At 36.2% G+C, this 13,662-nt stretch overlaps 1 protein-coding gene across 9 annotated transcripts in view, besides 2 other annotated features; it reads left to right on the top strand.

Moving 5' to 3' along the window:
• SLC35D1 (solute carrier family 35 member D1) overlaps nt 1-13,662 on the top strand; it is an 81,173-nt gene that overhangs the window by 31,963 nt on the left and 35,548 nt on the right. For 7 of the 9 annotated variants that reach the window (XM_047415662.1, XM_047415665.1, NM_015139.3 and 4 more), the window contains 3 exons: nt 584-651; nt 1,739-1,817; nt 13,019-13,101. In XM_047415662.1, coding sequence (XP_047271618.1) covers nt 584-651; nt 1,739-1,817; nt 13,019-13,101 — 230 coding nt within the window. Of the gene's footprint in view, nt 1-583; nt 652-1,738; nt 1,818-10,751; nt 11,718-13,018; nt 13,102-13,662 lie in introns of those variants that run through there. The other 2 variants (XM_047415668.1, XM_047415672.1) reach the window with 2 other exon arrangements.
• Nucleotides 844-1,642: an enhancer, noted in NCBI's record as "H3K27ac hESC enhancer chr1:67486227-67487025 (GRCh37/hg19 assembly coordinates)". NCBI's record gives its function as "activates a minimal SCP1, AML or CMV promoter by ChIP-STARR-seq in primed H9 embryonic stem cells {active_cell/tissue: H9 hESC(primed)}" and the evidence as "EXISTENCE:reporter gene assay evidence [ECO:0000049][PMID:30033119]".
• Nucleotides 8,454-8,503: a silencer, noted in NCBI's record as "silent region_976". NCBI's record gives its function as "represses an Ori minimal core promoter by ATAC-STARR-seq in GM12878 lymphoblastoid cells {active_cell/tissue: GM12878}" and the evidence as "EXISTENCE:reporter gene assay evidence [ECO:0000049][PMID:35858748]".

Genomic DNA, 13,662 nt, shown 5'->3' with positions numbered 1-13,662 from the left:
CATTTCTCTTTATTCCTTTCCTTTTGGCTTAACACAGACAACAACAACAACACAAAATACCTTGTTTTTAGAATGAACCGTTTTAAAACAGTAATTCTCCTTGAATAGACCTCAGCTGAATTTGTATAACTAAGGCTGTATTTAAGCTTTCACATGTTACAGAAAGGAAACATGTTTTAATGTTTGAGAAAGCCTTTAGTACTAGCACATTAATAGCCATCTGAAAGAACTGAGATTAGCCAAATGTGGCTTGTGCCTTCAAGGAAATACCAGTTTCTTTGCACCAATAGTGAGAAGTATAAAATCCCCACGTTACATTTTGGATGGGAGAAAATCTTATGAAACTACTTACTAGTTCAACTCTGTATACATGAAATCTTTGAACATCACTCTCTATCCTTGGAGTAATTCAGGGAAACATATACCTGTGTGTGTGTGTGTGTGTGTGTGTGTGTGTGTGTCTGTGTCTGTGTCTGTGTCTGTGTCTGTGTTGGAGGCAGACTCGTAGAAGGATTTACATTAAAACGGGATAGCTGATTTTGAAGGCCTGGTCTAAAATTTAATGCTTTCTTGTGTGTTGCAGGCTGTGGAGTTTGAAGGCTGGGCTGACACCCTCTTTCTTCTGCAGTTCACCCTCTCCTGTGTGATGGGGTAAGCCTTTGTTACCTTGTTAGCAGATAGTTTTCCTAAAGAAATAGGTTAGAGAAATTTGCATGCCTCTTTTCTCAATATCTTTAGGTCTCCTGAGTGTGTCAGCCTAGGATAATTAAGCCTCCAGATTCAGGTGGTTTCATAGCTCTTGGGAATGTGCTCTTAGGGCTACTGAATTGATACCTTAGAAGGATGAAGAAAAGAAAAAATTTACCTGATAACCTGCTGTTTAGTAAGCACCATTATATTTCAACATGCATTATATAGTTTTATCTCTATACTGACCATTTGACAGATAGAACTTTAGTAAATTGTCTAAATTTGCGCACTTTGTAGGTGGCAGTGGCAGCATTTGAATTTGGGGCAGTTTGACCCCTCTTTACCATGTTTTCTTCCTCATAGGAGAGAATATGTAGAGGTTAAGAGGATACCTGCAAACGTGCCTCTTATCCTCATGTCCATATTTCTCTAATGTGTTTTTTTTCCTCAGCCAGTCAGTTTAGTTGCTATTTGTGACTGGATCTGGCACACAGTGAGCAGGTGCTTCAAAATAAAGTTGACCTGATGCCTTGGTACTTAAGCTGAGAAGCCTCAGTGTAAATCAGAGAGTTCCAACTGCTGCCACTTAGTTGTTAAGTGAACCTGTATCCCCTCTTAAAGTAGTTTTAATTTGGTTTTCTTCAATATTTAAGGATCTCTCTTGTCTTCGTCTGGCCCAGAGGACATGTTGTCCTTATGGAAGGTGCACAACTGCATTTTAGGGTCTGTGAGCTCTGAGCTTTCTGTCTGGCTGGCTTAGGTGTATTAGTAGGAAGCATGATCTATAAAAATAGTCATGATTGTAAGAGATGGTTCAGGGTTTTGATGAGGGCAGCAAAGAAAAACTCTTGGTAAGGAGATGAATGTGTTTCTATTTAGTGAAATTTTAAAAATTCTGAAGCTGCAGTATAAGAAGCAGTGAGGTGGGGAAAATTCATAGCTGGTCAGTGACTAGAATGTGCTGGCTTGGCCAACACTGATTGTTTATCTTGGCTAGAGATTAGTATAAAGTGAGAAACTGGATTTTATACCTCTTTCTTCATTCTAGGTTTATCTTAATGTACGCCACAGTACTCTGCACGCAGTATAATTCTGCTCTTACAACTACAATAGTTGGCTGTATTAAGGTAAGTAGAAAAATACTGTTAGCTTTTGGTACCTGCATTATTTGAAAATTGTTCCTTTAAGATAAGAGTCTGTTGATGGCCTTAAGACCCAAATCGTTATTTCCTCACATACTGTCTTAGTTTGACAAATTGTGGTGATAGTTTCTGAAATATTCTTTAAGAATGCAGGGAGGGCATAGTCTCTACTTGGAGGCAGCTTAGCTCTGAAGAGCATGGGAAAAGGAAAATGTATTATCTGAATAGAGGAAGGAATAGAATTAGGTCTATTTCTGACAGGGCAGATTAATAGCTTGGTAGTGATAAGCCTGTCCCTTTAACCCCTAATGAGAACTGCTGTGTTCTCTGCCTCACTGAGGTCTGGCTGTTTTGTAGGGAAAGTATGCTGGCCAGAAGCTAATTGGGGGGGTTTTCCTATGCCTGAGCCAAACCTTAAATGGCTCACTTTTGAAAGCTGTGTCTGACATTTCCAATGATCTCATTTCCTCCTGATCCATTTTATTTGAGGCAGACTAATTTGTCTTCAGCCAGGAGAGCCAAGTTGACTTGAATATTGAGCTAAAGTTGGTGGCTTGAAGCCTGAGGCCTCTTTCATCTGACTTTGTGATTCTAGTGCTTTATGATTCAAGAGGCCACAGCTTGTCTGAATTCCAAATGAATTAGCCAAGTGGGCCTGCTTCCTTAAAAAGGCAAAACCCAGAGAGGTAGGTCCTTAACGTTTGGGGAAAAGAGGGCCATTACCCTTGTGACTTCCTTTCTGATGCCCCATTACTCAGTAGTGAGGGAAGAGATTTCAGAGGTCAAGTTTTTACTGCTCTGCTGTTTATCTTTGTAGTCTCAATAGAGTGGTGCCCACCTGATCTCAGTTTAGAGACTAGATTGGGTTAAAATCCAGAAAGTCTGTGGTTTCAAATCATGAAATTGAACTGTTTGCTGTGAATAGAATTCCAAATTAAGCTGTAACAGGTCAATTTGTGTGAATTCCTTTAGAAAGCTAGAGACAATCTATATGCCAGGGATTGGGCTGGCTGAGACAGTTTTAGGCCCCTCCCCCAAATTAGCTCTAGGTATGTTTTGGTTTTGTAAAGTGAATGCCTCAAGGGCAAAGTGGATGGCTTTCGTCTTCAGCATAAGAGTAGCGAGAATGTGAGAAATAGGCCATGTTTTTAGTTAAGGAGACGGATGATGCCGGAAAGCCTATGTTTAATTTTAATAAGTAAACCTATTTGCCTGGGATTTCTTAGTGTACTTTATCATTATCAACATGGGATACAAATAAAGTCATTCTTGCTTATATAAGGTTTATACTTTCCTTTTGATATATGTTTCTCCTCACAGTAGTCCAAGAACTCCATGGATTTACTCATTCCAGGGTGATTAATTTTACTTACAAACTCCACAGGGAGGCAAAAACTGAATTGTCTGATTAGTTCACTACTGTTCTTGCTTCATACTGGTGCAGGGTATCACTGTTGAAGGATGGCTTGCACATGCAGACAGATGGGAATCTGCTGATACCCTTGCAGGGTCGAAGTCTCACAGGATACAGTGCAGCTTCTGTCATTAGCATCCCAGTTATAACCCATTTAGCTCAGCCATTCCTCCTACAAGAGGCTTTAAGCTTCCTTCTGTGCTTGAGAATCCCCTGCAAATCCTTCGGTCAGCATTCCTTTTTCTCTTCAGCATGGTGGGAAAATCACTTAGGATAACTCATTGAAAGTAGAAATTCCAAGGCCTACCCAGATAGACTCAGTCAGAATCTCTAGAGTAAAGCTTAGAAATGTTTATGTTTAACAGGGTTTCCAGGCAATTGTCGGGTATACTAAAGTTTGAGAATTGCAGTCTTAGTTTTGAGCTATCATGACTCTTCTGTGCTTCTTGATAATTTCTTTTTTGAAGACGTTGGTGTCTTTTCTTGATAGCCAGCCTTGCTTAGGATACCCTAATATATACCTACAGGTTTTCCAACTTCTGATTTTGAGCAGCATGGGTTGGATTCTCTGTCACCTTCATTTCTGAAGTTCCTTGGGCAACTTACATAAATTAATCCACCTCCCTGGATCCCTGTATTCAAATGACGTCCTGTTATACACTTTCCTAAGTTGCCTGCTAGCCTTGTTGTTACATGATACTTAATTTTATTTTTTCCCTTCAAATAATAGGAAAATCCTTTCTAAGGCAACCTCCTGTCTTCATCCTTAGGCCTAGAAGAGGCTGACATAATTTTGAAGGTTCTCTCAAAGGGCGTTTTATTAGAAAAATAATTTTGAAGTTTCTTTTTGGCCTTTTTCAATGTATCAATTTACTTTGTGTCTCATAGGCCTAATCTAGAGGCCTGTGAGAAATAAGTCAGATAAATATATTTTGGGGTAAAATATTTTAATTTCCTTCAGTCCTCACTTTAAAACTTCATAAAGTTTTATATATTAAAAGCCATTTGGGCCAGAGGTCATCAGAGATAGACAAAGAAGTGAAAAAACAAATCTAGATAAGCAGAAAAGAGTAAATTTAAATGTATTGCCCCATATCTTTTTTAGTCATAGTCCTAAGAATGGATTAAACATTTGTGTCCCATTTTAGAAGGTGGCATTGTAGGTACACTAGGCCTCTGTGTATGATGAAGGGAAACAGATCTTTAATAAGAGATGTTTTTGTGGAAACAGAAGAAAAAACCAAGGTTAATGTCTGGAGTAGTGTATAGAGTTTTTTAGAGTCCTTGAGGTATCTTCAGATTGCAGTGGCAATCTGACAGATTTTACTGGATTATAGTTCAAATCAGCATTGAAGTGAACTTTCTGAGTATTCTATACATCAGTAGGCATGAAGGCTGTTTGTATTTAACTTCTGATTTTTCCTGAAGTTTACGTTGTCTAGTTTCAGTTTGTAGGGCTTTAAGAAAAGCACAGTTTCAACTTTCAGTGGCTTAAAGTCAAAAATGGAAGAAAAATTTGAAAATGTTAGTTTGGAAACTTGTAGCCAGGAAAGAATTCAGGTTTTAGTCTAAATATTAGAGAAGTAATAACAACAATAACAATTAATGAGGCTAGAATCTAATTTAAACAGATGTGCTATAGTTTTATTTGAAACATGATTTTTTTCTTCTAGTCTCCCATTTTTACCAAAGATAAATCATAGTAGGATTAATTTATTTGTAAAATAAATTTTAGTCTTATTGTACTTGGCCTGCTTATTTGTATAAAGTGTAATAAGAATAGCGATTGGCCATATAGGCTCTTCTTAGATTAGTTTTATTGGAACTTTTTAATAAGGAATCTTAGATTATTAGACTTTTAAAAGCCTCAAGGCCAGGAGGCTAAGCCAAGGATTTGCCACCAGACTCTAATACCTGTAACAAATTGGGTGAATCTTTCTCCTTTTGATATCATAAAATAACTCGAGGTCCCTTGGTCTGTCAGAAAGTTACATTTTTTAATCACAGGTCAGGAAACTTATAAAGGAACTGTGTAGACAAGGGTCTTTTTATTGGCTTTATAAAGTCAACTTTAATTTCTTCAAGTAGTCTGGTCATATCTGCAAATATGTTATTTTAGTCAAAGTATTGGTAAAATAACCAGTGTCTCTGTGTCCTATTACAAAGAAAACAGATGTGTATTGAACTTATCTAAATAATTATATTCTGATAAGTTAAGAATATTTATAAATAGTTTTTAAATTTGGAGAAATTAGTTAGAAAGATGTTTTAAATTTGTTCACAAAGTATATTTTACCCAATTGTTGTAAATTATAAATAGTTTAGAAGAAAAAAAAGTTTTTTGACTGGAAAACACAGCATTTTTTTTGAAGTCATAAAAATTAGTCTTTTACTAATGTAATTCCTTGTAATTCTTATACTGTTGGATGTTAGGTTAGCAATCCTCATGAATACATCAGTTTTTTAACTAGAATACTGAAAGTTTTTACCTAGTCTAATGGTCGGATCAATAAAGTTATCAGAAACCTATATTTACAACTACTTATCAGGGTCTTTTTTTATTAATTTCTCCGAAGAAGAAGCAAATTTTGGACTCTACCGATTGTAAACTACATTTCGAGAAGAATCAAAGTAAAACAATGATTGTCAATGGAAAACAAAAGTCTTAGAATAGTTAACAATTGACAAGGAAATTTGATTATTTCATTGACATGTACCAATTTAACATAATCATAATTATTACTGATAATATATCTGAAGACATTTCAAATCTTTAGGAATCTCATACAGGTTTAGAACATATATTAATAACACATTTATATAAATATAATGCAGAGAAAGTTAAGCACCATTTTTTTAATGATTTCCATTTGATTTTAACATACTAAATAAGGCTAATATGTTTCTCTTAGACTTCTAGGGGCCCTATTATCTAAAAAGTTAGTTTGAGGTCAAAAAAACTGAATTTGAAATTTTGATTTGGGGAAATATGTCAGATAACAAAGGTTTAAAACAGGATTGCAGGCCACTAAAAGATATCATTAGTCAACGTGATAATTTAAAGATTTTAAAAAGCAAAACCTTTTACTCTTGGTAGAGACTTATAAGACATAATAAAGATACCATGAGTCATACTGAATCTGTTTTTCCCTCTACCCCCTCTTTTTTGTAATTTATTTAGAAGGTAAATAAAATTTTAAAAATTATTTTTTATCAATAGTACATAAAAATTTTGTTTGAAAGAGAAAACTGCCTGGGCTTGGTGGCTCACGTCTGTAATCCCAGCACTTTGGGAGGCCAAGGCAGGGGGATCATTTGAGGCCAGGAGTTTTAGACCAACCTGGCCAACACAGTGAAACCTGTTTCTACCAAAAATACAAAAATTGGCTGAGCATGGTGGCATGCACCTGTAGTTCCAGCTGCTTGGGAGGCTGAGGCAGAAGAATTGCTTGAACCCAGGAGGGAGAGGTTGCAGTGAGCTGAGATCACGCCACTGCACTCCAGCCTGGGCAACAGAGTGAGATCCTGACTCAAAAAAAAACAGAGAAAATTCGATTTTATTTTTGTATTAGTGTATTATTAACATTAAAGTTAATTTTTAATAAAGCCTTGTAAATAAATCTATTTAATTTTAATTAGTTTGACCACAAGATTTTTATACGTTTTTAAATAGCCTCTTAAATTTAAACATTTTTAAAATTTTTTATTTTTGTTTTTTTAATTAAAAACTTTTTAAACGTTTATACTAGGCAAAATCTTTTTTTTTTTTTTTTTTTTTTACAAAAACACATTTTTATGTGTTTTATAACCTTTTTTACTAAAAACACATTTTCCTTTTGGAATATACTTTGCGTATGGAATTGTTTATTTTAATATCTAGTACTTTTAATTATATATATTAATTATGATAGTATCTCTTAGTAACTCTTACTTTTAGTGAAAAACCTAGGAAATAAGTAATTGTAACTATGTGCAGTGCAAGACAAAGAATAGAGCTGTGAACACAATGCCTGGAGGAGTTAATCCTTAGTATGGCCAAGAGACATGGTTGGGCTAGGGAGGACAGGGCCTGGGTGTTGTCCCCAGACCTTTTTTGTCTAGACATTAGAATCTAAAGTCTCAAATTTACAGACATAAGCTCACAGATAAATTAAGTAAGCATTAAAAATATTATAGAAGTAACAGTTCTGTGACCTTACAACATTTAGTAGAGACAGTATAAACCTGTCTGATCAATCCAACCAGGCCAAAAAAAAAAAAAAAAAAAAACTAAAAATTGAAGACATTTTAATTTTATTTTACTAATAATTTTTAAACTTTTAATTTATTAAGGATTACTAAAATCATGTGAACTTGAAAATTATTTGGGCCTATTTAATTTGTGAGTACTAACTTATAAGTTAATTTGATATTATGTAGACAGTATATACACTTAGACATGTATATATAAAAATATAGATGGACACAAATAAAGACTTTATAGCTTTGGTTTTTAAATTTTAGCCATAAGACCAGTAAAATTCACTAGTTTAAAAGAACAGTTGGATTTAAACTTTGTATTCATAAGTGAAAAAGATTAAAGTTTATCTGCCTCACATGGCCCAAGCCCTTATTGTGTTTTAGAGAAAATAGGGTAGTAAATTATATTTTAAAGTGCAGAGAGAGAATTTATATTTTTTAAAAGGAGTTTGAATGTGTTAGTGGAAGATTAAAAATGGATGTCAAGGTAACAGACTTATAGGAACTTATAGGATTTTATAAGGGGACTAATTTTATTTAGAGGGGCATTGTAAAATTTAGTCTGTTTTTTAACTGGATCACTGAGCTCAAGGCAGAGCCCATTAAGCAACAGGGTCAACAAAGTATCTGTAGTTTTTAGGGCCTAATAATTAAAATATGTGGAAAGTAGGCACCGTTGAAAGGCAAAACATATAGAGCTTTACAAATGTAGAATTTTGCTTTTACATTGAATCCCACATCCCCAGAAAGAAAAATGCTATGAAACCAGGTTATGCAATGCTTGTATAGTGTACTTTGATACAGACATTTTTAAAAGTATTTAAACTACATCTTTTAAATCTAAACTCACAAAGAAACAAGTAGTCTCTTGTAGTAATAATCGTTTACTATAAACAGCTGTTACCAGTCACCTCTAAAACTGTAGCTCTTACCGTGGTGATGACTCACCACTCATCTCTCACACACACACAAGTCACATTTCTCCTACAGTACAAGTAAGAGGTAGATGGCACCTTTTTTTGTGTTTCTTAAGGGATCTGAATCATTAGAAGTGCCCTCTAGATTCTTTTATGTTGTACCAAAGACAGCAAAGAGGAGGAAGGAGGAGTAGGAAGAAATAAGAGTAAATGGGAGAAAAATATATATTTTTTGAGACAGGGTCTCACTCTGTTGCCCAGGCTTTAGTGGCACAATCATGGCTCACTGCAGCCTTGACCTCCCGGGCTCAATTTATCCCCCCATCTTAGCCTCCTGAGTAACTGGGACTACAGACACTTGTGACCATGACTGGCCAACTTTTATTTTATTTTATTTTTTATAGAAACAGGGTTTTGCCATGTTGCCCAGGCTAGTCTTGAACTCCTGGGCTCAAGTGATTTGCTCACCTCTGCTTCCCAAAGTGCTGGGATTACAGGTGTGAGCCTCTGTGCCTGGCCCAATTTCTAAGAAAGGAAGTAAAATTTAAGAGTCTAATTTTAAAAACATAATTTTGAGAGAGTTTTAGTCTACTGAAAAAAAATTTAAGAACAGGATATATATATATCTCCAGGATATATGTTCTTAAATTATATATGCATGTATAATTTGAATATCAGTTTTTAATTAAGCTGACTTTTAACCACAGAGCTCTTTTTAAAAAATCTTTTAAAATCTATTGTCAGATTTTAGCTGGGGGGACAAACAGATGATATTTTTGCCTTTTGAATTTTTTTTATTGAAGATACCTTCACAAGTGAAACCAGTAAGACTTAACCAAAGTTATGACTTAACTAAGGATGCACCTGGCATCTCTAAAGAGGTGAATGGGTACCCCAAAAAGTCAAAGTCACATGAATACTGAGCCAAAAGGGGCTGATTCTCTGACCAGGAATTGAACCCAGGCTATGGTGGTGAAAGTGTACAACTTGAATTACCAGCCATAAGGTACAGCAGCCTTTATTGTGAATCCCACAGGGGATCTAAAGCAGGGAGTGTGAGCTTACAAAGGATTTTAACTTTGTTTTAGGTCAGATTTTTGCTCTTTTAATTTTGTCAAGAGAAAAATTTGTAAGACTAACCATGACACTATTGTGTGTCTTCTAAAAAAAAATGTGACCTTCTCATCAATTGTTTAGAATAAGAAATCTCTTAAATTTTTTTTTTTTTTTTTTTTTTTGATTTAGGAGTCTAATTTAAAGGATCCATCTTTTGGCTGTTGAATTTTTAATGGTGTACTTATTTTAATAGTGACTCAATCTAATAGTCTCTTTATGGAAAACCTAGGATGTAATTTTTTAGGTTTAGAAATGTGTTCTTGGAGAGGGCATAGAAGAGCCTTCCCAAAGTTCCCATGCCCCCGCCCAAAAAATGTATTGCCAGGAATAAGCTCAGATAGTGAAAGATTCTAATTATCATAGATGGTCTTCAGTAACCCACAGATATGTGGGGTACCACCAGTCACAGACCTGTTAATCTGTGAGAATAGGTAGGCCCTCATGGGACTGGACTTTTTTAGTACTAACCAGGCAACAAAGGTTGAGATGACAAAAGCCCTTGTAGATGAGACTTTATGACAGACTGTCCTAAGAGCTTGACACATTTGGAACAAAGTCTTGGGTTTCTAGCCATTTTTAGACTGGCCACCTGACGTGACTCAAAAATCATGCCCCCAGATGGCAGAGACCAAGAGAGAGTGCTTCCACTTGATCAGAAGTCAAACTTTCAAGGGCACAAAATGACAAGAGAACCTCAAGCAGTACCCTAATTTTTATGACAGAGCAACACAGAAAGACAAAGATAAAGGAAAAGACTATTTTGGGGAAGAAATGAATCAAACAATTTGAATATTCATGCCACAGAGAACCAAAAGCTATAACCAAGACTTGTCACACAAATCTTTTTCTCCCATTAATCAAGATTTGGGCTCTGTGGCTGTATGGGTGGGTGTGGTGGCTGAACTCCTATAATCCCAACACTTCGGGAGGCTGAGGTGGGTGGATTGCCTGAGCTCAGGAGCTCAAGACCAGTCTGGGCAACATGGTGAAACTTCATTGCTATCAAAAATAAAAAAAATTAGCCAGGCATGGTGGCACACACCTGTGGTCCCAGCTGCTTGGGAGGCTGAGGTGGGAGGATTGCTTGAGCCTAGGAGGCAGGGATTGCAGTGAGCTGAGATTGTGCCACTGCACTCCAACTTGAGAGACAGAGTGAGACCTGGTGGCAAAAAATGAAAAAGATTTTGGAGAGGAAAAAGGAACTGATTGTTTTTTTACCATCCACTTGACCAGATTCCACAGGGAGAAAGAGGTCTGGAGCCTGGCTGGTAAGAAATTTTTATCCTTATGCTGGCTGGTGAGGTCCTGGATTATCTTTGCTGCAGCTTCCAAAAGAGCAGAACAGCTTTGGTGACCCTGCTTACTGCATCAAAACTGTAGGGATGAAGGGAAAATTTGCTTAAAAATCAGCTCACAAAAGACAGACTAGTAAAAGAAAAGGTATCTAATTTATTGATGTGTATATGGAGAATATTGCAGAGTGACTACCTAAACCCCCAGTGGAGTGTAGAAGCTTATATACTATCTTGAAGTTACAGAAAAAATGGGGGCTTAGATTGGGCAAAATAGGTTATGGGAGGGAGAGAAGAGGAGGCTTGGCTAGCTAAAGTGGTCTTGTTATACAGATGAAACCTCACAGGTAGCAGCCCTTGGAGAGAATAGATGATAAATGCTTTTTTAGACCTTGAAAGGTGTTAGACTCTCAGTTAGTGTTTCCTAGATCTGGACAAGGGGAGGCCTGGCTACAGTCAGTGTAGATTTTTCTACAAATGTAAATTTCCCTCACAAAAGACAGCTTTGCAGAGCTACTTCTTTTTGCTGGCTTTCTGACAGCTATCTTAATTACTGTATGTTAAAGAAATATATTTGGGGGTAAAATTTTTTGATTTCCTGCAACCCCAAATCTGAAATCCAAAATGCTTGCTCCAAAATCTAAAACTCTTTGAATGCCAACATGATATTCAAGGGAAATAATCATTGAGGCATTTGGATTTTTTAATTTGAGATATTCAACTGGTAAGTGTAATGGAAATATTACAAAATCTGAAATATTTCAGGTCCCAAGTATTTGGGACCTGATAAAGGATATTCAGCCTCTAGTTTAAATTTTAGAAACTTATTTTTTGTTTTTATGGTCTTAGGATAATTAAAAGGGAGCCAGAAGATGTTTGCACCTGGGAGTGTCAGAAGTGATTTTAGGTATAATATCTTGAGATGACTTCCCATGTGTTTTCTTAAGAGACCAAGGAAGATTCCTCTAAAAACAGTCATTGTATTGGTAAAGTCCCCACCATTCCCTTTTTTCCATTTTAGAAGAAGATGCAAAGATATTTTAGGTTCTGGGGGTGCATGTGCAGGTTTGTTACGTGGGTAAATTGTGTGTCACTGAGGCCTGGTGTACAAACGATCCTGTCACCTAGGTAGTGAGCATAGTACTCAACAGGTAGTCTTCCAACTCACATCCCCCTTTTACCCTCCCACCTCAAGCAGCCCTCAGTGTCTATTGCTCCCATCTTTGTATCCATGTATATTCGGTGTTTAGCTCCCACTTTCAAGTGAGAGCAGGTGGTGTTTGGTTTTCTGTTCCTGTGTTAGTTTGCTTAGGATAATGGCCTCCTGCTGCATCCGTGTTGCTGCAAAGGACATGATTTCTTTCTTTTTTATGGCTGCATTGTATTCCATGATGTATATGTACCACATTTTCTTAATCCAGTCCATCGTTAATGGGCATCTTGGTTGATTGCATGTCTTTGCTATTGGGAATCATGCTGCAGTGAACATAAGAATACATGGGTCTCTTTGGTAGAACAATTTATTTTCCTTTGGGGATATAACCCAGTAGTGGGATTGCTGGGTCAAATGGTAGTTCTGTTTTAAGTTCTTTGATAAATGTCCACACTGCTTTCCACAGTGGCTGAACTAAATTTACATTCCCCCCAACAGTGTATAAATAAGCATTCCTTTTTCTCAACCTCGCCAACATCTGTTGCTTTTTGACATTTTAATAATAGACATTCTGACTGGTATGAGATGGTATCACATTGTGGTTTTGATTTGTATTTCTCTGATGATTGGTGATGAGCCTTTTTTCCTATATTTGTTTGCTGCATGTATGTTTTCTTTTGAGAAATATCTGTTCATGTCCTTTTCCCATTTTCTAATGGGGTTGTGTTTGTTGAATTAGGTTGCTTATCAATTCTGGATATTAGACCTTTGTCCAATGCATAGTTTGTGAATATTTTCTCCCATTCTGTTGGTAGTATTCTTCAGTATTGGCAAAAGCATTTATCTTCTGGAGAAATCGATTGGGAAGAGGCTAATGTCACTGATTCCTTAATAGTGTTCTTCCTTATACTATTATTAGGGTTGGTGCGTTTTCATTGTTTGTCTTTTGTTTATTTGTTTTTGTATTTTAAGGACAGATATTTGGATGAGTTTTATATATATTTAAGAAGCTCAGTTAAACCTATATAACAGTATATTACTATTTTTATTTTTAGAATATATTAATAACTTATATTGGAATGGTCTTTGGTGGAGATTATATTTTCACGTGGACAAACTTCATTGGTTTAAATATCAGGTAAGTAAAAATATTTAATTAAATTGCAAAATCGGAATTGGATATTCAAATAGTGTCACAATAAGGTTAGGCTATTAAATTAATGGAACATTTATTCATTATTAAACATATGTGGAGTGCCTTCTATGTGCTACATATTTAATGTCTCTACATAATGCTTTTTAAGAAGCAGGGAGAGGTTGGGCATAATGGCTTATACCTATAATCCCAACACTTTGGGAGGCTGAGGTGGACAGATTGCTTGAGCCCAGGAGTTTGAGACTAGTCTGGGCAATGTTGTGAAACCCCGTCTCTACAAAAAAAATGACAAAATTACCTGGGCGTGGTGGTGGACATTAGGACTGTTGTTCCCTGGCCACAGGGTTGCTATATTGAAAGCATTTTTAGTGTATATTTTTGGAATGGGTATCTCATTGTCGGGGGCTAATGAATATGTCCATGACTGTAGGTTTAGGAGAAGTAGACTGTGTTTGCCTTGCTTTTGAAGATCAAAAGTGGATCAGAGCAGATAAAGTAGATTTAGTAGATTCAATAGATTTGGAAGCAGTTCGGCACGTTCCA

The sequence above is a fragment of the Homo sapiens genome, chromosome 1 (assembly GCF_000001405.40).
Source record: "Homo sapiens chromosome 1, GRCh38.p14 Primary Assembly".
Classification (NCBI taxonomy): domain Eukaryota; kingdom Metazoa; phylum Chordata; class Mammalia; order Primates; family Hominidae; genus Homo; species Homo sapiens.
Note: the sequence above shows the minus strand (reverse complement) of the source record. Positions and strands in the feature narration are given on the sequence as shown.